The 23208-nt window shown below is 44.9% G+C and overlaps 2 pseudogenes; one reads left to right on the top strand and one right to left on the bottom strand.

Moving 5' to 3' along the window:
- RPL30P12 (ribosomal protein L30 pseudogene 12) lies at positions 2013 to 2368 on the bottom strand (annotated as a pseudogene).
- EEF1B2P4 (eukaryotic translation elongation factor 1 beta 2 pseudogene 4) lies at positions 10727 to 11887 on the top strand (annotated as a pseudogene).

Genomic DNA, 23208 nt, shown 5'->3' with positions numbered 1-23208 from the left:
CTGAGGCCCAGGTCTTAAGTGCAAAGACCACAGATTCCAAACCAGACTCTAGAGCATAAGGTGTTGGTTTGGGAGATGCCTTTTGGATACTAAAATATCAGAAAGTCCAGGATAATTCCATTCCAGGTTTACGTGAACAACAGGAGAGAACACTGTCATAAAGACAGTCCCTGAAAATCAGGGGTTAAAATCAAAGTAACATTTGTCATTTATTGATGTCTTCTCTGTGCTCAATGTTTTACAGACTTCATTTTCTGAGATCTTTAAAACAACCAGGTGACGGAGATGCTGTTATTCCTATTTGGCAGTTGAGAAGATGCTGAAGCTCTGGGAAGTGAAGCTGCTTACTCAAGTTGGTAGAGCCGGGATTCAAACTCTGCTCTGATTTCCAAACCTAAGCGTCTCCCACTAGGCTGTGCTTCCTGTAAATCCAGGAGGCAGCTGGGAGAAAGTGTGGCATGCACATGGCAGAGGTTGTTATTAAAGGAAGACAATGGGGAAGACCCCAGATGCACTGCCACATGACCCAGCCATGCAGACATTCCTGGTGTCTGAGACTTCATAAATGTCATTATTGAAGTTTTCAGGAACGTTTTGAAAAGTGAGCAATAAAAGAACTGGATTTAAGCTGGGCATGGTGGCTCACACCTGTAATCCCAGCACTTTGGGAGGCCGAGGCAGGCAAATCACTTGAGGCCAGGAGTTTGAAACCAGCCTGGGCAATGTGGCGAAATCCCATCTTTACTAAAAATACAAAAATTAGCCAGATGTGGTGGTGCACGCCTGTAATCCCAGCTACTCCAAAACTGAAGCAGGAGAATCACTTGAACCCAAGAGGCAGAGGTTGCAGTGAGCCAAGATTGCGCCACTGCCCTCCAGCCTGGGCGACACAGCAAGACTCCACCTCAAAACAAAACAAAAAGAACTGGATTGATTTATTTCTGTGTTAATCAGGGTTCATGTGATTTTAAGAAGCAAAAACCAGCCAGGCATGGTGGCTTGCTCCTGTAATCCCAGTGCTTTGGGAGGCTGAGGCAGGAGGATCACTTGAGGCCAGGAGTTCAAGACCAGCCTGGGCAACATAGCGAGACCCCGTCTCTACAAAAAATTTAAAACTTCACCAGGTATGGTGGTGTGCACCTGTAGTCCCAGCTACTTGGGAGGCTGAGCAGGACGATCACTTGAGCCCAGGAGTACAAGGCTGCAGTGAGCCGTGATCACACCATTGCACTCCAGCCTGGCAACAGAGTGAGGCACTGTCTCGAAGAAAAAGAAAGGAAAAAAGAAGCAAAAACCTATTCTCCCTATTGAATCAGAAAAGGTCAACGTATGGGAAGAACATGGGGGTGTCCCATGGCCTCCAAGGACAGGAAATGAAGTCAAACTCAAGAAGGAACCAGAACCAGCAACTGCCTGAGCCCCTCCCCCAGCCTGCATTTAGTAGATGGATGCCCAGGCTTTTATGGGGCGACTCTCCAATTCGCTGTTGACTAGGAGGTTTGTGAAATTTCCTACTGGGAGAGAATGGGATTCCCTGGTCTGGCAGTATGGAATCTTAACCGACAATAAGGAAAGTGACGTTTCTGAAACAGAGCTACAGAGTGGATAGCACACAGCTTCTGGAGCCAGATCAGACTTAGGTTTGCAGGCAGACTCTGAGACCCCTAGCTAAGTTATCCTGGGAAAGCTTTATTGCTCTGAGACTTAGTTTCCCTGATTGAAAAATGAGGATCATAAATCCTGCATTGGATGTGTCAAAGCAGCATAGAGCCTGGTACTCAGTAAGTGTCCAGTGTAACTTCCCCCCCATCACTTCCTGAGATGGAGGTGGCATCTGATAGAGAACCCCTCTGAGGTTATCATCACCCAGGAGTTCTCAGTGTGTGACACTGAGAACAGAGGAAACGGGAAGATTCCAACTGTCTCTTGCAATGGTGACATGAACTCTTTAAAAAAAAAAAAACCAAAAAACAAGTTCTGGGCAAGTTTTATTAAACAAAATTTTGTATGGTTTACTTTTCACCAGTCTTCTCTGCCATGCTTCTAATGAACTCAGAATCACCGAGATCAATGATAGACAATGTACAGACTCTAGTATTTTCTGCATGCTGTGCCTAATTCAATATTCTTGCCATTGTAGTGGCAATAATATCGGACACCAGTTTTGGCCAATAGGGCCTAGTACTCTATTTTGGATTTCCTCAAAGCTGGGTAGTTGTTAGCGAGGATGATCAATTTCGTTTTGCCTTGTCTGATCATCTTCAGGGTCAGCTTGTAACCCAGCATGTACTTTCCACTTTTCATAAGGAGCTGGAGTCTACAGTTGATTCAGTCTAGCAACTTTCTCCATCCTCTTTATGGCCACCATATTCCTGCCCTTAGGTCTGGGATGGCCTCTAACCAGGATCAGCTGACAAGATTTCTGGGGAGTGAGGAAGGAAGCGTTAAACTACTCTTTGGGTATTAACACTTGACCGGAATAGAAATCTGTACAATCTTGTCTTCATAAGAATGGTTTTCTTCCCCTGCTTGAAGTCCCAGAGACACTGGCTAGGCTTTGGGGAAAACTAAGAAGAAAATGCCCACCATAGAATTTTCATAGATAGAGCTATAGGAGGAAAAAAGGGAAGTGGTGGGTTTGTGTATTGCTCTAATTAGCAAAATCAGGAAGTAACACAAACCACAAATGTGACCTGCATTTAAAAATCATTTTCTCAGTTGGGCACTGTGACTCACATCTGTAATCTTAGCACTTTGGGAGGCCAAGGTGGGAGGATTGCTTGAGACCAGGGGTTTGAGACCAGCCTGGGCAACCTAGTGAGACCCCAGTCTCCACACACAAAAAAAATTAATCAGGTATGGTGATGCATATCTGTAGTCCTAGCTACTTCGGGAGGCTGAGGCAGGAGGATTGCTTGAGCCTAGGAGTTCAAGGCTGCAGTGAGCTATGATCATGCCACAGTACTCCAGCATGGGTGACAGTGAGACTCTGTCTCTAAAAAATAAAAAAATTATTATCTTCTGATGGCTTTTTCTTTTTTTTATTTTTTAGATGAAGTCTCGCTCTGTCACCGAGACTGGAGTGCAGTGGCGTAATCTCAGCTCACTGCAACCTCTGCCTTCTGGGTTCAAGCGATTCTCCTGCCTCAGCCTCCCGAGTAGCTGGGACTACAGGCACCCGCCACCACGCCCAGCTAATTGTTTGTATTTTTAGTAGAGACAGGGTTTCACCGTGTTAGCCAGGATGGTCTCGATCTCCTGACCTCGTGATCCGCCCACCTCGGCCTCCCAAAGTGCTGGGATTACAGGCGTGAGCCACCGCGCCCGGCTCTGATGACTTTCTTATTTATCATTTTGTGATGCCCAAAGTGTCCCCAAGAATAGGGCTTATTTATTGCCATGCAGAGAGAGGAATCCAGATGTCCTAAAATCCTGGCTCAGTTTCCAGAGTCTGCACTGAGCCCACCTCTTGGGAGACAGATAGACAATATTCTTTCAAAACGAATGAGACGGCATGCCAATTCTGCCCCACTTCCCTGGCTCCCTCCATGAATGGGTCAGCCTGGGCTCTCCAAGCAGCTCCCTTTTCACTCTCAGGCCTTAGAAAGGACCTGATTCCAGGCAGGAAGTCAAACTCCACAGCTCTCTGCTGCCCGTGCATACTACAGCACCCATCAGGAGCATTAGGGTCTGGCCCAAGAGCTGCCACCAAAGACTCTGGTTTCTGTTCCACCTGAGATTGGGTCTGGATACCTCAATGACCAAAACTGGAGACCTCTGGAAAACAGATGAGGGAGGGAGAGGGGACAGGAATAAGAACCTGCATGCACCCGTGTAGTGCAGTGACAGAATCACGGCTCACTGCAGCTTTGACCTCCCAGGCTCAAACAAGCCTCCCACCTCAGCCTCCCAGTGTTGGGATTACAGGCTTGAGCCATGGTTCCCGGCCAGTTTTGTTCTTTTAATAGTTCTTAACCTTTTCTGGGCCATAGATCACTCTAGGATCTTAAGAGGATTCCTAGGAAACATGCCCCAGGAAAAGGCACACGTGCACACAATCTGACAGGCAGCATCAGGATGATCCCTGTAATCCCAGCACTTTGGGAGTCTGAGGCAGGAGGATTACTGGAGCCCAGGATTTTGAGACCGGCCTGGACAACGTAGTGAAACCCTGTCCCTACAAAAAAATACAAAAAATAGTCAGGCGTGGTGACACGTGCCTGTAATCTCAGCTACTTGGGAGACTGAGGTGGAAGGTTGCAGTGAGCTGTGATCATGCCACTGCACTATAGCCTGGGTGAAAGAAAGAGAGAGAGAGAGACAGAGACAGAGAGAGAGGGGGGAAGGACGGAAGGAAGGAAGGAAAGGGGGGAAAGAAGGGGAAAGAAAGAAAGGGAAAGAAAGAGGAAGAAAGAGGACAAATTTAAAAATTGACATAGTTTAACTGAGCAAAGAAGGATTTGTGAATTGGGCAGCCCCTCAATGAGAGGGTCCAGCTAGTCATGTGGTATAAGAAGATTTATGGACAGAAAAAGGAAAATGACCTACAGAAGGTGGAATGGAGGTGCAGAAACAGCCCACGTGGTTACGACATGCATTCGCCTGATTTAAACATGATTTGAACAGTTGGCCACCTGTGATTGGCAGAAACTCAATGACTGGCACAAGAGGAGGTTACAGTCTGTTCACACATCCAGTTAGGTTACAGTTCACTAGGTAAGAGAAACCTTTAGGCCGAACTTAAAATATGTAAGGAGGCAGTTTTAGGCTAAACTTAATTTAACAGAACCATCACTAGAACCCATTCAACTGCCTTAAGGGAGACAAAAAAAAAAAAAAAAAAAAAAAGAATGGTACTACCGCTGGGTGTCCTGGAAAGTTCAGCGCTGCAATTACTCGCTTCAGAGCCACACAGTCTTTGCTCCCTGTCCCACTCTGTCTGTGCTACTTCCCTGTCTGGGCCACCTCAGCTGAGGCTGGGGTGGATGGGCACAGACATTACCAAGAAGGTTCTGAGAGTGGGTGTGAGGGGACAGCTCTCAGGGAGGCAGGTGTAGGCTGGGCAGGTACTCAACACAGTGTCTGCCGCACCTAGGAAAAGGAGGAGCACTAGAAGAAGAGTCCAGAAAGCCTGGGATTTGAGGAGGTTTCCTTCCCCAGAGGCCCTCTGAGCTGGGGTTTTCCCAGTAGATTCCTAGTCCTCTTTCTCAGGTCATTCCAGCTCGTTAAAGATTCAAATGAAGGTCTGGAAGCCCAGGGTGACTGTTCCAGAGCTCACAAATGCTCAGGCTGGTTCCCACGTGCTCGTCCCCCAGACCCCCACCTCCAGGAACTCATTGGCGTATGCCTTCCTTCCGCGGCAGCTCCTTTTCCTCTTTGTGCCCCCTCACTGGGGCTGGAGGGCTGGGTTCTGATTCAGGTAGGAGAAGAGGCATGTTGAAACATTTGCATGCAAGACAGACGTACAACATTGTAGGGAGAGCAAACAATTCACTGAGTCTATCTCTGGCCCTCTGCTGGTGAGATATGTGATCTTGGAGAAGCCTCAGTTTTCTCTTCTGTAAATTAGGGGCAGTAATTTTTTCTTAGGGAACCCTCCCTCCTGGCTGGGCATGGTGGCTTACTCCTGTAATCCCAGCACTTTGGGAGGCCGAGGCAAGTGGATCACCTGAGGTCAGGAGTTTGAGACCAGCCTAACCAACATGGTGAAACCCCATCTGTACTAAAAATACAAAAAAATTAGCTGGGTGTGGTGGTGCATGCCTGTAATCCCAGCTACTCAGGAGGCTGAGGCTGGAGAATTGCTTGAACCAGGAAGCGGAGATTGCAGTGAGCCAAGATCATGCCATTGTACTCCAGCCTGGGCAATAAGAACTAAACTCCATCTCAAAAAAAAAAAAAAAAAAAAATAAGTCTTCCTCCCGTCACCCACCTTGCTAGTTTTTGCTCTATTCTAAAGCTCATTCAAGTATCAGCTCCTCTAGGAAAGCATCCTTGTCACTCTTTTCTCACCTTCCAAAGCTAGGTTAGGTGCCATCTGTCCCTTTTTCCCCATAGCATCTCATGCTTATCTCTAATCTGAGCAGCCCCAATCAGGCTGGGTTGTGACAGCAGGATCGCTGGTGTGTTTCTGCCACATGACTGGAAGGAAATAGAACAAATAGAACAGGAGTTGAGAAATAACCTCATTGTTGCGCAGAGATTGTGGAGGTTGTTTCTGCAGCATGTCCTAGCCTATCCTGACTGATTCATCCTTAGCATTTCTTGCATGGAAGTGAAGAGTCTCAGTCTATCTCCTGAGGTTGTTATGAGAATGAAATGATAATGCCTCTAACTCTAGCACTGTTAGTAGTTTTTCATAAATTTTAAAGATGATGTGACCAACATGGGAGGAAGTCAAATGTTCTCATTAATAGCATGGACGCTGGAACCTGGCTACCTAAGTTCGAACCCCTGCTCTGCCATTAATCCGTCAGTGTAGGAATAAAAATAGAATCTAGCTATTGTGTGAAGATTAAATGAGGTAACATATGTGAAGTGCTGGTGCTTGGAATTCCTGGGTGTCTGTGTGGTTGGGGATGGTGGGTGGTGGTGGAAGCTGGGGCTGACAAGGTAAGCAGAGGCAGGTATAGCCTTGGATTACAGAGATGGAGGCAGATCCAGGTTTGGGAGGCCTGATGCTTCTGTAGTTCTTGGTTCTCTAAGAAAAGAATACAAAACTATGAATGCCAAGTTAGACGTGAAAGTGAATGCTTACATACAAATTTTATGAAGTTGTCCAGTACCACGAACATCACAAGATTCAGAAAAACACCTAATATTTTTTATTAATAATTTGAAATATTCTATTATGATCATTTTCCTACTATATTTGGCTGCATAATCTTTAATCACCTTGCTATAGTCTAAATGTTGGTGTCCTCGCAACATTTCTATGTTGGAACCTAATTTCTAATGTAATAGTATTAAGAGATGGGGTTTTTGGGAAGTGATTCAATCACGATACCCCACCCACAGGAATGGGACTCATGCCCTTATAAAAGTGGCTCGAGGGAGCTCATTTGTCCCTGCCGCCACGTAAGAACCCAGCAAGAGGGTGCCATCTTTGACTCAGAGAGCAAGCCCTCACCAGACACTGAGTTGGTTGGCACCTTAATCTTGAACTTCCCAGCCTCCAAAACTGTGTGCAATACATTTCTATTGTTTATAAAATACCCAGCCTAAGGTATTCTGTTATAGTAACCCGAATGGACCAAGACACATCTTTGTATAAACAAGGATTTTGTTACATTTTCCATAGAGAAAATAGAAAGATAATCAGCCTCTCTCTCCTAGTGTGGTTGATCATAATTTGTTTTTATATGGAGGCCGGGTGCAGTGGCTCATGCCTGTAATCCCAGCACTTTGGGAGGCCAAGGCAGGTGGATCACCTGAGGTCAGGAGTTCGAGACGAGCCTTGCCAACATGGCGAAACCCCGTCTCTACTAAAAATACAAAAATTAGCTGGGTGAGGTGGTGTATGCCTGTAATCTCAGCTACTTGGGAGGCTGAGGCAGGAGAATCGCTTGAACCTGGGAGGCAGAGGCTGCAGTGAGCCAAGATGACACCACTGCACTCCAGCCTGAGCAACAGAGACTCTGTCTCAAATAATAATAATAAATAAAAATAAAAACATAATTTGTTTTTATATGGAGAGTTTGGAATTCTTTGTTTCAGCTCCGTAACAAATGTCACATGTAAGGGATATAAGTTTTTTTAAGATTGTTGTCAAATTTGAGGAAGTATCAAATTCCTATCGTGAATGAACTATAAGTTTTCAGGGCAGTTGAAGTTTTCTCGCACAGTGAATGCTTAATGCACAGTGACTCATTAAATTGATAACACCCATAACCAGTAAGTCCTCAGTGTCTTCTCCATAATGTGGGTCAGGTGTTTGATATTATCTTCATAGTTGTTAGTATTCCTTAGCAAATCATTGAGCAAGTTTAAATCTATTCCTAGTGGGTCCCTGTAATTCACTCTTATCATTAGATTATCAAGCAATCCAAAAGCCTGACTATTGTTGTTATTTAAAATGTGTCTCTTATTCTCAATTAATTATGTTTTAGTATTACCTGAAATTGATTTTGTTATGCTCCTCAGTGTCAGAATAATTTTCTTTGGCTTTATTGCTCATCTTTATTTCTTTTTGTTTCATGTACCATTTTTTTACTATATGAATTTTTCTAGAGGATTTCAAAAATATATTTAAAGACGCAAAAAATAAAAGATGCCCTTCATATATATCCACATCAGGAGACTGCAAATTTCTCACCTGTTTTACTGAAAAGTCCCCAAAGCATCTTTCCAAAGTGTGATTAAAATGGAGCATTTCCAACTCAATCTCCCCTTAGCAAGACCCCAAAATGCCCTGAGCCAGGACACTGTCACCTGATGGAAGAGAAATTTGATAAAGGAAAGTTAGAATGAAAAGAAACAGTGATCTTAATAGATGGCCACTAAAATGTCTTAATTTTTCAAACTGTGCAAAAATATATGATCATGTGAACCTTTTGCCAGGGTCTCTCCCAGGGCCTTAAAAGGTCTCACAAGCTTAATCATTGAGTTAGGCACTGAACTGTGGCCTGAGAATTCTTAGAAATTCATTTGTACTCTGTATGAAGCTATTAACTTCTATTGCTGTTATGAAAATTAATCAGACCTGGTTTTTCCCTTCAAGTGCCTTTCAGGGAACACGAGGTATACATAGAAAGTATTAAAAAATAGCTTATTGGCAACTATTTTCTGTTATATATGTATATTTATAAAAAACTACTTGGAGGTAATTTTAGAGTCATATGCAGTTGTAAGAAATAAAGCAAATGAAACACCGTGCAAGGTTATATTACATTATCACCATCAGGAAATTAACATTGATACAACCCGCCAAATTTATGCAGATGTCACAGTTTTACATACACTTGTGAGTGTATTTAGTTTTGTACAATTTTATCACATATCCATGAGTTGCTTTATTAAAGTAACTTTTAATGCTTAATTTTAAAAAAACCCCTTCAGAATAATAAGCGTTTGAAATGTAACTGAATAAAGATGCTTATAATCTTGCATTTAAGATTTGGATTTTATTCTGAAGGCGGGAAAGGGCCACTACAATGGTTAGAATGTACATTTTCTGAAAGCTCAATGTGGACATGGTGGAGGATGGTCTGGCTGGAGCAGGCTACCCATCCGACAGGGGCTGTTCACCCCCGAGGGTCTTAGACTCTCAGGGTTGCTCTCCGCAGAGTGCTACCTGCCGAGACTCCTTGCCCAGCAGCCACTCACTCAGACCCCGCCTACTCCCTGGGCCCCGCCCACCCCCACGCCGGGCCCAGCTGCTCCTCGCTACGGCCCCGCCCTCCCCAGTTCCCTGAACACAAACCTCGCTGAACCTTTCCTGAGTGCGGAGCCCTGAGAATCCAGTGGTGAGCAAAACGCTGACAGCCCAGTCAGGGAGACAGACAGTAAACACATGCCCCCAAATATATAATCATGTAATTACAGGCTGTGGGAAGTGTTGTGAAAGGAAAACACACCGGACGATGTGGGTCTCCAGGGGTCCGGGGCGGAATTCCCTGCGGAAGCTTCCCAGTCAGATCTGGACCTGAATCCTAGCGCTCCACTCGCGAGGCGGGTGTCCTGAGCAGGCTGGGTGGTCCAGCTGGACCATGGGCTCTCGGATCCAAGTGGCTCGACTGTCGAGCCTGGTGTAAACTGGCACTTCCAAAGCGTAGTCCGGAAAGGTTAGAGCTTTAGCAGCTTCTTGGAATGTGCATTTATTTTTATTTATACTGCTCCCTTCTATGCCCACTCCTTGGAGGAACTTTTTTGATCTCTTGCAGAACCTAGGCTGGATAAGAATCCCGTCCGTGTGATCCAAAAGTGCCCTGTGCCTTATTACAAAGCTCAATTTGCACGGTATTGGGATTTCCTGAGGGCCTTTCTCAGCAGCTTCCAGGCCCCTTGGATCCCGGGTTGTGCGTTCGTCCTTTCTCTCTCTGAGACGCACTGGCAGCATCATCACCGTCATCATCGGCATCATAACTAACTCCTATGCAGTGGTTTTAGGGTGCTGGGCATTGAGCTAAGCTCTACGTTATTAATTCATTTTAATCCTCATACTCTGGCTCCTGGCAGGCACTTTATAAAACATGTTCATTAATAAGACACAATGGAAGGAAAAAAATCACTGATTTATTTTTTCTAGGCACTCTTAACTTCACAGAGGAGGGGACTTTGAGATGGATTTTGAAAGCGGAGTTCACCAAGCAGAGACGTTGGGATTCATCAGTGAAGAGGAGCTTGGGCAGGTATAACAGGTGCGTCAGATGTTCTAGGAATGGTGATTAGAAAAGTATGGCTGGATATTAGGTACGGGCGTGAGGATGTGGAGGAAGAAATATTGAAACAACACCGACCTGGATATATATAGCTTAAGCTTTACAGATGGCTATCTTAATTTTGTGAATCCATGCAACATACTTTATGGGGATTTCCAGAAGCACTTTGGGGATTGTTGTAACTAGGGTCCTGCTGTAGCAAGTGGGAGCAAGAGTCAGTCAAAGACGGGTTCTAGGTCTACAGATGAAACAAGGTTACTTATTTTTCTGCTGGAGAGTGGAAGCTTGGGTGATAAAATGTTAGAGGAATAAAAAAAAGAACGTAGCTTCTTCCTCTCTCAGCGCAGGGTGCCCATAACTTGCGCTCTTTCTGCTGCTCCCAGCTCTTGGATACAGCCGATGACGCCATGGGTTTCAGAGATCTGAAAAGCCCGGCTAGCCTCCAGGTGCTCAACGATTACCTGGTGGACAAGAGCTACATCGAGGGTATGTGCCATCACAAGCACGTGTGGCAGTCTATGAAGCAGTGTCCGGCCCACCGCCTGCTGACTTGTGTCATGCCCTATGTTGGTATAATCAGATCAAGTCTTATGAAAAGGAAAAGGCCAGCCTGCCAGGAGTGAAGAAAGCTGTGGGCAGGTATGGTCCTGCTAAGGTGGAAGACACTACAGGAAGTGGAGCTACAAATAGTAAAGATGATGATGAAATTGATCTCCTTGGATCTGATGAGGAGGAAAGTGAAGAAGCAAAGAGGTTAAGGGAAGAACAAACACCTTGCACAATATGAATCAAAGAAAGCCAAAAAACTTGCACTTAAGGCTAGGCGCGGTGGCTCATGCCTGTAATCCCAGCACTTTGGGAGGCCAAGGTGGGTGGGTCATTTGAGGTCAGGAGTTTGAGACCAGCCTGACCAACTTGGTGAAACCCCCCGTCTCTACTAAAAATACAAAAATTAGCTGGGCGTGGTGGTGGGTGCCTGTAATCCCAGCTACTCGGAAGGGTGAGGCAGGAGAATTGCTTGAACCCGGGAGGCAGAGGTTGCAGTGAACCAAGATCGTGCCACTGCACTCCAGCCTGAGTGACAGAGACTCCATAAAAAAAAAAAAAGTAAAATAAGATCAATAGAAGAAAAAATACATGATAAGTGCAAAAATTAGAGAGGATCATCAAACCTAAAAGAAAAAAAACCTGCACTTGTTGCCAAGTCTTCCATCTTAGACATGAAACCTTGGGATGATGAGACAGATATGGCAAAATGAAAGGAGTGAGTCAGAAGCATTCAAGCAGATGGCTTAGTCTGGGGCTCATCTAAACTAGTTCCAGTGGGATACAGATTTAAGAAACTTCAAATACAGTGTGTGGTTGAAGATGATAAATTTGGAACAGATATGCTGGAGGAGCAGATCGCTGCTTTTCAGGATTATGTATAGCCCATGGATGTGGCTGCTTTCAACAAGATCTAAATTCCATTCTGGATCATTGCACTTAAATAAAAGCTTGAAAGATTAAAAAAAATGTAGAGTTAGACAAGCTGGAAATTTGATCTGGTTTTAGTCACTTATGCTGATTGGGTGACTTTGGGCAAATTCATCGAAGTCTCTGTAAAATGGGGATAATGCTAAAATCTACCTCATAAGGCCATGTGTTTAATAAGACGGCAGAGCAATTGAGTGTTTTAAAAACACCCTACCTATTTGTTTGTTGTTTTAATCACAATAGTATAGTCCAGGCTTGTCTAATTCTTGTTAATATGTGGTAACCAGTCATTTTGTAACCTATGTTTCTTAAGTGACACCAACTTTAAATGCAGACCTGATAACAGTTTTGGAACATTACACTCTAGATTTGTTCCCACCACCTGTGGGAGAACCCCTCCCCTCCATTTCTCTCCAATTCCTCTGATTCATGCTTTCCCTGAGACCTAGAGCCTTGCTTCTCAAGGTGTGGTCTGCAGACCAGTATCACTGCTTTCAGCTGTGATTGGTTAGAAATGCAGACTCTTGGCCGGGCGTGGTGGCTCACGCCTGTAATCCGAGCACTTTGGGAGCTTAAGGCAGGCAGATCACCTGAGGCTGGGGGTTTGAGACTAGCCTGACCAACATGGAGAAACCCCCATCTCTACTAAAAATATAAAATTAGCTGGACATGGTGGAACATGCCTGTAATCCCAGCTACTCCGGAAGACCGAGGCAGAAGAATCACTTGAACCTGGGAGGTGGAGGTTGCGGTGAGCCAAGATCACGCCATTGCACTCCAGCCTGGGCAACAAAGAGTGAAACTCCATCTCGGTAATAATAATAACAATAATAATAACAGATAGTATTTATTGATTGCTTACCATGTGCCTGGTGTTATGCTAAGCACTTAATATGCATTGTCTCATTTTGGGGGCACATTTCATCTTTATTTTAGCCATTCCAACAGGTACATAGTCAGAGCCATGTAGTTCTCAAACCTCTTTAGTGGATGCTGTTGGTTCAGTGGTCACTATTGGTTGTATATCCAAAATTTGTTTCTACAACTTTCTTTCCAGCAGAATCCTATTTTCTCACATCTCCACTCCTCACCATGGGCTTCAGGGAGAGCTGACCTGAGCCCTAGTTCCATGTAAAGGCTTTTATTAACTAAGGGTGATCCCATTTCCCTTGATAATTGGTTCAGGAATGGGCAGATGACCCAATTCTGTCCAAAGAGTCTTCAGGAGGTCTGTTGGGAAGGTTTCTTACTCTTAAGAGGGAGTTGCAGGGAAAGGCGATCTTCTTGGCTATTGTCATGTCTGGATGTTATGCTTGGAACTTCTGCCATTTGGCTATGGGTTTCGGGATGAAGCTCTCTCTGCAGTGATGGAGCAGAGCGATGCTTCCTTACCAGCGTGGAGCCGCTAGATCAACCCTCTGGGCTTCCAGATGTTGTGAGATTCGCTTCTTATATAAGCCAGACTGAGTGAGGTTTCTGCTCCTTGCTTTTTTTTTTTTTTTTTTCTGGAGACAGAGTCTCGCTCTGTCACCCAGGCTGGAGTGTAGTGGTGTGATCGCCGCTCACTGCAATCTCCACCTACCGGGTTCAAAGGGATTCTCCTGCCTCAGCCTCCTGAGTAGCTGGGACTACAGGTGCCCGCCACCACGCCTGGCTAATTTTTGCGTTTTTAGTAGAGACGGGGTTTCACCATGTTGGCCAGGATGGTCTCAATCTCCTGACCTCGTGATCCACCTGCCTCGGCCTCCCAAAGTGCTGGGATTACAGACATGAGCCACCGCACCTGGCCGCTTCTTGCTTTCTAACAGATATAATTTGGTTTAGAGTTGGTGCCCAGCAACCTCTGTGGGAAGTGCTGGTCCCCAGAAGATGCGGCTACATCCTCCTAGAGGCTTTCCTTATGGGGTTTTCATGAAGGAAAGCTTCTCTCCCCATTCGCCGAGGCCAATGGAATGGAAAAGGAAGGAAGGGATTCTCCTGGAGATGAAGACTGTCTCTTCTATTTGTTATTTGTGTGACCCTCGGCAAGCACTTTCCCTCCTTGAGACTTCGTTTTCTTATGTGCAGATGGCGGGGCCAAGGATCCCAACTTGCTTTCCAGGGTGTTGGTGAGATTCCAGTGAGACGCTGGAAGGGCAAGTTTTCATCACCAATCAAGGGCCTGCAGATCCAGGACTGACACTGCTCGTGGACATGCTTACCTCAGAAAGCTGGTCAGTGCCAGAGGTGGGGCTCGATCTAAGTCTCCTGACCCCCAGAGCAATGTTTTTTCTATCATAACCTGACTCAGCCTCTGCCCTAAGGGGTCATCTATTTTCTGCCTTTTTCTTTCTCAAATGCAAGGCATGAGCACGCCCTGAAACATAACTGTGTCAGGGTTTCCTGGGGCATTTCTTTCAACTCGACCATTTCCACCCCCAACTTGGCCGGGCTCATGAGGGCCCGGCTTGGCCAACCCTGGCGTCGTAATGCATTGGCCGGGAAGGGCCTTTGTTGCCTCTTTGGGCTGCAGCCCCCCTCCCACTCACTGTCGCCTACGGCCACTTTTGCTCATTTCTCTTGGGAGCTGCCTAGCTGCAGAGAAAGGCCTTTGGAACCCTTCTCTTTTCAGCCATCCTTTATTGAATTTCACCTCCATTTTTTTCCTTTCCAAATAGGAACATCATTTATCCAGGACTTTTAAGTGGCAGAGGTCTTCAAGAGCTTTCTCTTTCCCAGCTGCATTTGTTGACACACAGTCAATCTGTTTCTTGCCTCCACTCCCCTTCCCCCACCCCACCCCCCACGCAGGCCATAAAGTGTCTACAGCTGTGCCCTTTATTACCCTTCCCTTTCTATGCCCACGAGGGGGATGAGCTGAAATATAGCACAGCCATTACTGCTAACAAAAAGGGACAATTTTAAAGCATTTCTGCCTTTCATCAGGGAAGCTGATGGCACAAAAAGAAAATGCATCATTTTATTGTAAATGTTTTTAAAATATGGGTCACTTGGCCATAATCAGCCTCCAAAGTCGGACAAGTTTAAAGCGAAAGCAGTCACATAGATATCAGGTTTTTCCCCTTGCCTTTTAAATTATGCTAATTGACACCAAGAAAAACAGGGAGAGGGTAGCTCCTACCAACCCACACACTCCGTCTCCAACTCCCTCCTCTCTCTACAGTGAAGAGCATGGGAAATAAGTTTGCCAGGCCAAGAATGGTGCCCCCAGACTAAGAAGCCCTTTTTACTTTTTACTTCTGTTTCAGTAAGTATTAAGACTAAGAGGCTTGTGGTCTGGTCTTTCAGGATGGGATGCTTTTCCCAACCCTGGTGGAAAGGAAACTTTTATTATGTTTGCTGAAAAACTTCCAAATGCGGAAGGCTGCCTGACAGCTACCTGGTGTGTGTCTGGGATGGCTGGGTCTGGCCAGGAGCAGAGGGTCTGGTTGGAACAGATATGCTGGTAGGGCAGGCAATGGAAGTGGTTGCTCTTCCAAAGGGGACACTCTCTGAGTGATTTTGAAGATAAATGGATATGATGGTTGTTGGGACTATGGTGAGGGATTAGAGGTAGCAGAAAGAAACATACCATATTCAGATTGATGGTCAAAAGGTGTCCCCTTGCCACCCCCTCCTGTGCAGCCCCCACCCCTGGGTTACTGCCTCTTATAGTGTGAACCAGGCTCCACCTCTGGGAAAGGAAGTAGGGCTTGAGAAGAGGATTTGAGCCATAGGAAATAGGACCAAGTTTCTAATGCAACTGGAATGAGGTGGGCTGGATTATCCACTCCTGAGAACCAGCTGTCTACATGATACAAAGAATTGAGACGTGGAATCCAAAGAGCTGGACTCAAGTCGTGGCTTTCCAGTGCACTAGCTCCATTAACACAACCTCTCCGAGCCACAGGACCCCAGTCTGAAATAAGGATGGCAGTGGAGAAACTTGCACCACCCAACTCCACTATGGGCAGTCAATGAGCTCATGTGCGGGATGTGAATCTGGCAGGTGTTCAATGGTCAAGGAAAATATTTGATGAAACTGATTCCGAACCAGGAGGTGGAGCCCCAGGATATGCTATGTGGGCTACATGGACAGCTAGACAGTTTTCCAAGACATTCACATTCGAAACTAGAAATGGTATCAAGGGATGCTTAGAAAGTGTCCCTAGATAGAGATGCATGAAGAAGAGGCATATTGGATGAGGGTGCTGAGTCCTTTGGTGGGTAGAGGGCATGGCTTAGAATCTGCCAATCTGCTTTTGATTCCAAATCTACTGCTAAGTAGTTAAGTGACCTAAGCTCAGCCACCACTTCCCATCAGTACATTAGGAATAAAAGCAGTGGGATGATACAAGGTTGTTGTGAGGACTAAAATGAGATTAATCATACAAAGCCCTTAGTGCATCAACTGTCAGAGTAACTTATTACATTTTGTTATTCTTATTCCTGAGAACTTGCAGGTGAGAAATGGAGACTGGTTGATGATGGCTTCTCTCCCCCTCCCTCCCCTCCCCTCCCCTCCCTCCCCTCCTCCCTCCCCTCCCCTTCCTCCCCTCCCCTCCTCCCTCCCCTCCCCTTCCTCCCCTCCCCTCCCCCCTCCCCTCCCCTTCCTCCCCTTCCCCCTCCCCTCCCCTTCCTCCCCTCCTCTCCCCTCCTCTCCTCCCCTCCCCCTTCCTCTCCTCCCCTCCCCCTTCCTCTCCTCCCCTCCTCTTCCTTCCCTCCCCTTCCCTCCTCTTCCTTCCCTCCCCTTCCCTCCTCTTCCTTCCCTCCCCTTCCCTCCTCTTCCTCCCCTCCCCTCCTCTTCCTCCCCTCCCCTCCTCTTCTTCCCCTTCCCTCCCCTACCTCCCCTCCCCTCTTCTTCCTCCCTTCCCCTCCCCTCCCTCCCCTACCTTCGCTCCCCTCCCTTTCTTCCCTTCTTGCCAGCCTGCCAAATCAAAGAGAGTAATTGTTTAGCACAGGTTTCTTAAGAATTGACTCTAAATCATCTCATAAGACAGTGTGATCTAGTAACTAAAAACATAATTTGAGGGTCATACAGATAACTATGAAATCCTTGTTCTGTGAAACGCTAGCTCACTTCCTTTGAACAAGTGATTTTATCTCTCTGAACCTCAATTTCTCATCAGTTACAAGGTCCTTTCCTATCCTTGGAAGCCTTAAGTGAGATAATGCATGTAATAATTACATACATCTTCTTTCCTGAGAGTCTGTCTATCTCCTGCTTTGCATTGGAGAAAGCAACACTTTTTACAGTTTAAAAAAAGTGTAAGGTTTGTAACAGGCTGCAGATGTAGCAGGGGTAATGAAAAGGAAGGCTGGACTTTACAAATAAAATATAAATGAGGATCTCTAAGATCTAACTCTGAAAGAAGATTCTCCAGAGGATAGAGTTGCTAATATAGTACTGAGACCCTCTGTTCTCCTGAGTTCTACCTTCAGCATGTTCTCACAGTTCAGTTCCTGCTGTTACGGCTTTGTCTGATGATGATGATGATGATGATAACGATGATGGTTATGATGATAGCAAGCCTTTTTGTGCAAGCTTAGAAAAACTCCAGGCCGTTTTGTACCAGTTAGAAAAAAACTCCCTTTCCACACCTCTCCTAAACACAGTCAAGACTGGTGAGAACTTAAAAAAACAAAAACTTACTAAAAAAATAAGGGATTGGGAGGTCGAGGCAGGAGGATTGCTTGAGCCCAGGAGTTCGAGACCAACCTGGCAACATAGGGAGGCCTTGTCTCTACAAACAAAATTAAAACAAATTAAAAACAAAGGAAAGCAAAGTGGAAACACAGGAAGTGTAAGAAGCCTGAAACTCTGGCTTCAGTTTTCTGACCCTCCTGGAGCTGGATTGCTCCCAGGTACTGTCCAATTTCACACAATATTTGTGATATTTATGCTCGGTGTCTAGCTCAGTATGTTATTGGTTTTTCTGAGAGACTCAAGTATACAGTCAGGCAGCCCTTAACAAGAGGGAAGCGTTCTAAGAATCTTGTGATTAGGTGATTTTGTCATTGTGTGAACATCACAGAGTGTACTCACACAAACCTGGATGGTCTTGCCTACTACACACCTAGGCTAGATGGCATAGCCTGTTCCTCCTAGGACACAAACCTGTACAGCATGTGACTGTACTGAATACTGTAAGCAACTGTAACACAATGGGAGGGATTTGTGTATCTAAACATGTCTCAGCATAGAAAAGGTACAGTTAAAGTACAGTATAAAAGATAAAAGATGGTCCACCTGTACAGGGCACTTACTACGAGTTGAGCTTTCAGGACTGGAAGTTGCTGTGGGTGAGTCAGTGAGTGAGTGGCAAGTGAATGGGAAGGTCTTGGACATCACTGCACACTCCTGTAAGCTTTGTAAACACTGTACCCTTAGGCTACACTAAATTCATTAAAAAATGTTTTCTTTCTTCAAGAAAAATTAACCTTAGCTTACTGTAACTTAGTTACTTTATAAACTTAAATTTCTAACTTTGTGACTCTTGTAATAACACTTAGCTTAAAACATAAATGCATTGTACAGCTGTACAAAAATATTTTCCTTTATGTTCTTATTCTATAAGCTTTTTCCCATTTTTAAAATTTTTTCTTTTTTTTTTTTTTTTTTACTTTTAAAAACTTTTTTGTGGCAGGGCGCAGTGGCTCACGCCTGTAATCCTAGCACTTTGAGAGGCCAAGGCAGATGGATCACGAGGTCAGGAGTTCAAGAACAGCCTGGCCAATACGGTGAAACCCCCGTCTCTACTAAAAATACAAAAATTAGCCAGGCATGGTGGTGTGCACCTGTAGTCCCAGCTACTCAGGAGGCTGAGGCAGGAGAATCACTTGAACCCGGGAGGCAGAGGTTGCAGTGAGCTGAGATTGCACCATTGCACTCCAGCCTGGCAACAGAGTGAGACTCCGTCTCAAACAAAACAAAACTTTGTTGTTAAAAACTAAGACACAAACACACCTAGGCCTACGCAGGGTCAAGATCCCCAGTATCACTGTCTTCCGCCTCCACATCCTGTCCCACTGGAAGGTCTTCAGGGGCAATGGCATGCATGGAGCTGTCATCTCCTGTGATAGCAATGCCTTCTGGAATACCCCCTGAAGGACCTGCCTGAGGCTGCATTATCATTAACTTTTAAAAAATAAGTAGAAGGAGTACACTCTAATGATAGAAAGCATAATACAGTAAATAAGCCAGTAATATAGTTATTTATTATGATGAAGTATTATGTACTGTATATAATTTTTTGTGTGTGTGTGTGAGACAAGGTCTCACTGTGTCACTCAGGCTGGAGTGCAGTGGCATGACCATGGCTCAAGGCAGCTTCAACCTCCCAGGCTCAAGCAATCCTCCCACCTCAGCCTCCTGGGTAGCTGGGACCACAGGTGTGTGCCACCATGCCTGGCTAATTTTTAAAAAATATTTTGTGGAGACAGGGTCTCGCTATGTTGCCAGGGTTGGTCTTGAACTCCTGGCCTCAAGCAGTCCTCCTGCCTTGGCCTCTCAAAGTGTTGGGATTACAGGCATGAGACACTGCACCCAGCCTTCTGTACATAATTAAACGTGATAGTTGTATAGGCCTGGCAGCACAGTAGGTTTGTTTACACCAGCAGCATCACAAGCTCATGAGTAATGCGTTGAGCCACGATGATACGATGGCGATAATGTCCCTAGGCTGCAGGAATTTTTCAGCTCCATTATAATCTCATAGGGCCGTGGGCATATGCACTGCCCATTGTTGACTGAAATGTCATTAGGTGGTTCATGACTGCACTTTATAATGAAGTGAACCACTACCCAGCGTACTGCTTATCAGTTAATTCTATTTTATTTAATTCCCTTGTTCAGCTCTAGGTTTATTTATTTTTAGTTCTTGCTTATTGTTCTGCTCTTTTCTTGTAATAGAGCTGAAGTCTATGATAATTAATCGTGGTTTCGTAGACATTTTCTTTGGCTCCCTGTTTTTTTGGTTTGTTTTGGCCTCTGTTTTTCATGCGAGAGGATTTCCTCAAAGGTCTAGACCCTGTGGACTGTCCCTCCATATGGACGAGTGAGACACAGAAAACCTGATTGAGAGCTCGGTGTGAGCCAATGGGTGTCTTCTCCAAGGCCTGCGTGATGTGGTCTCATTCTCTCTGACCATCTCCTGTCTCCCTCCCCCTTTCTTCCTTTGTCCCAGCTGCACTGGCCACCCTGCCATTCCCGTCATATCCGGATTGTTGCTGCCTCAGGGCCTTTGCACTTGCTGGGTCCTCTGCCAGAAGAGAACATCTCTTAAGTGTTCACTCGGCTTTTTTCCTCCCGCTTCTTTCAGGTCTCTGCTCAAAAAACAATTTATCAGAGAGGCTTTCCCTGATGACCCTTTATAAAACTTCCACCTGGGCCTTACTCTGCTTTTGTTTCCAATGGACTTATCGTCACTTGATGTGACAGCACAGTATGCTGTTTAGATTTATTTGTTGTCTTTCTCCAGAAGAATGAAAGCTCCATGAAGTCAGGGTCTTTGTTTTGTTCACGGTTGTGTCTTTTGCACCTTCTGCAGTGCTTGGGATATTAGCACTCAGTGTATATTTGTTGAATGAATGAATGAATGGTGGCTTGAGTGACTGTGAAAAGGCTAGGATCTGGGCATTTCATTGGAGGATTCCTAATATTCATTCTCTATATCTCTTCTTTTGGGTCAGCTTTCTCAGCTAGAAGAGTCCTGGCTGCCAGTGTTCTTAGAGCTGACTAGGGAAGGAGGCTGAAGATCCGGTGATTCAATGTGTGGTCTCTTACCTGACTCTCATTTTCAGTAAGAATCTCCCTTTCTTCTTCTATGCCTGAGTCTGAGGGTCTAGAGCCTTTTGAATTAACTTCCTCAGTGAAACTCCTGGCTTATGCTGGGGAGGTGGATTGGGAGTCACCTGGTTGCATGCACATGCTTGCAAGTGTGTGTGTGTGGGAGGGGCTGGTGGCAGAGTGGAATTTGCCTGTTTTAAAGCCTACCCACACCCTTATTTGCAGATGTTACTGGTATTTCTGATTCCCAAGCCATTCTGGGGTTCTGCAGGGTATACTACAGTGACTGCTGGTAAATGTTTAATTGGCTCTCCAGGGGAATAAAAGCTCTAATTTGTGGTGTTTGCTGATTCACGTGGTGTCAACATTCCCACCACAGTTGACTTCAAGTTACCATCATGACATCACTGAACATGGATTTTATAAATCCCTTTATCTCCTCCTGTAAATAAGACTCAGGTCTCAGCTGTGACCGAGACCCCACTCCATTCTTTCCACAGCTTGGTTGTTCATCTCCTCCTTTCTTTACAAAAGACACATGTTCTTCCATTACCAAGCTAGTTCAATTTGAGTTTCTGATACTTTTTACTAAGAGTTATAAGTTTTTTCAATTATGAGAATTTCTTTTTCTAAAGTCTGAACTTTCCAGGGTCTCCTTTCGCATAATAGTGGCTTATCGTGCTTTAACTGAGAAAATAGATGGGCAAAAGGATACTAAGAATGCAGTAATAACTTATATAAATAAGCTTTTATCATGTCAACATGTATATATATAAGTATTTGTACAATAGGAGTACTTGCATGTCCAAGGCATTGTTTATTTGGTATATAAATAATGTTTGGTGACCATACACATTTGCAGACTCCTTGAATTAACTCTTAACTCTATTCTCCTACTCCCAAACCCAGAGTTGTTTAGTTCACAGGTTAGGAGCCAATGGTTCAGATGATCTTTTCTCCGAACATTCTCATTCTCATGAGTTAAATGAGCTCTTTCTTGCCTTTCTCCAAGATCAAAGTGTGTTTCTTTTATCTTTGAAATATTTCTTGAGTCCATCCCCTTTTCTACGTCTACTGCCAGTGTTCTAATCCAGGCCCTACTTGCCCCTCCCAGGTAGAGGCAACAGCTTTCTGTCTGGTCTCTTCTGTCTGTCCCTGCATCAATCCATTCTCTATACGGCAGCCAGAGTGCTCTTCCTGGTGGGGTCCTTTTCATGCCTGAAAGGCTGCTGCTCATGTGTCCAATCACGAGACATGGGATAGCTGTTTCCATCATACTCAACAACTTGTGTTCTGTAAACCTTTTGCCCATGAGCTTGTGTTTGACCCAGTTCTTTTGGTAGCAACAGCCTTTTTCCAGTGGATGGAAAACGCATATGTTACCTACAAAACTTTGTTATTCACCCCCCGCAATCCTCCTGGCCAGCATTAGCCATACCTCATCCTGGCAGCCTGTAACAGTACAGACTTTGGTTATGGACTTCTTACACTGTGGGTATTCAGGGGATAGGACCTTTCAGTTATGTTTGTATACCCAAGCACATTGACGAGTACCTGGGACATAGTCAATGCTCAATCAATGTTAATTGAACAAATTGATATGGATTGGTGTGCTTGGGACTATAGATTTATCTTTGAGACTAGTTCCTGAATGGGAGCTAGATAAGAAATGTGTGATATGGAAATGAAGTAAGAAAAATGTGTTGTTTTCCCAATTCTGTTTTTCCCATTTGTCTCTTCTGACATTCTTTTCTTCCAAATAAGCAAGATTTTATTGCATTTTTCTGATTGCAGAAGCAATACATTCGAAGCATAGTATTTATATGGACTCTGGCATCAGGCTTGAGTTCAAATTTTGCTATGTGTATCAATTAATAAGCAAATAGAGAGGGCTGTGTGCTTGCACACAGTGCTTAACACCTTTATGTCTTAGTTTTCTCATCTGAAAAGTGGATGGAAGCTATTATAATAGTGCTTACTTCTCAAGATTGTTTTCAAGTTAGACTGTGCATGTCAGTGCACAGTACAGACTTTGGTTATGGACTTCTTACACCATGCATGTTAGTGCACAGTCTAACTTCAAGTGCTTGGCACAGTGATTGCTCAACAAATACTTGCAGCTCTTATTGTGAAGTTCAGTGCCGAAAAGGTAAAGGTCTCTGAGATCTGGATATAGCTGCAGGATAGGGCTTAGGATCTTCATGGTGCTGCACTAAAAGAAAACGCAAATCTGACTCCAGAAGCCTTGGAGAATAATTTTGATCTCTTCTCTTAGAAGAGCCTTTTTCAACCAGGTTTCATCTGGACCACAGAACACAGAAAGTGACTGGAGTGACTATTTTCTCAGTTCTCAGAATGTTACATAACTTACACTGTTCTAGATGCACGGGAGAGTATGTTCATTGTCTACAATTCAGGGCATGTAGGTTTCATGATCTCCAGTCCCCTCCGCTTTAAGAAAGGCTGCTCTGATATTCTTTGATGTTTCTTAGACCTGGAGACCTGGTGCAGGGACTCAACACAGTGCTCAGAGTCAAACCACTTAAAGTCCTCTCTAGATACCTCTCCCTTTCCTTAAACCTTCTC

The sequence above is a fragment of the Homo sapiens genome, chromosome 12, assembly GCF_000001405.40.
Source record: "Homo sapiens chromosome 12, GRCh38.p14 Primary Assembly".
NCBI lineage: Eukaryota > Metazoa > Chordata > Mammalia > Primates > Hominidae > Homo > Homo sapiens.
This window is presented reverse-complemented; position numbering and strand designations above follow the sequence as displayed.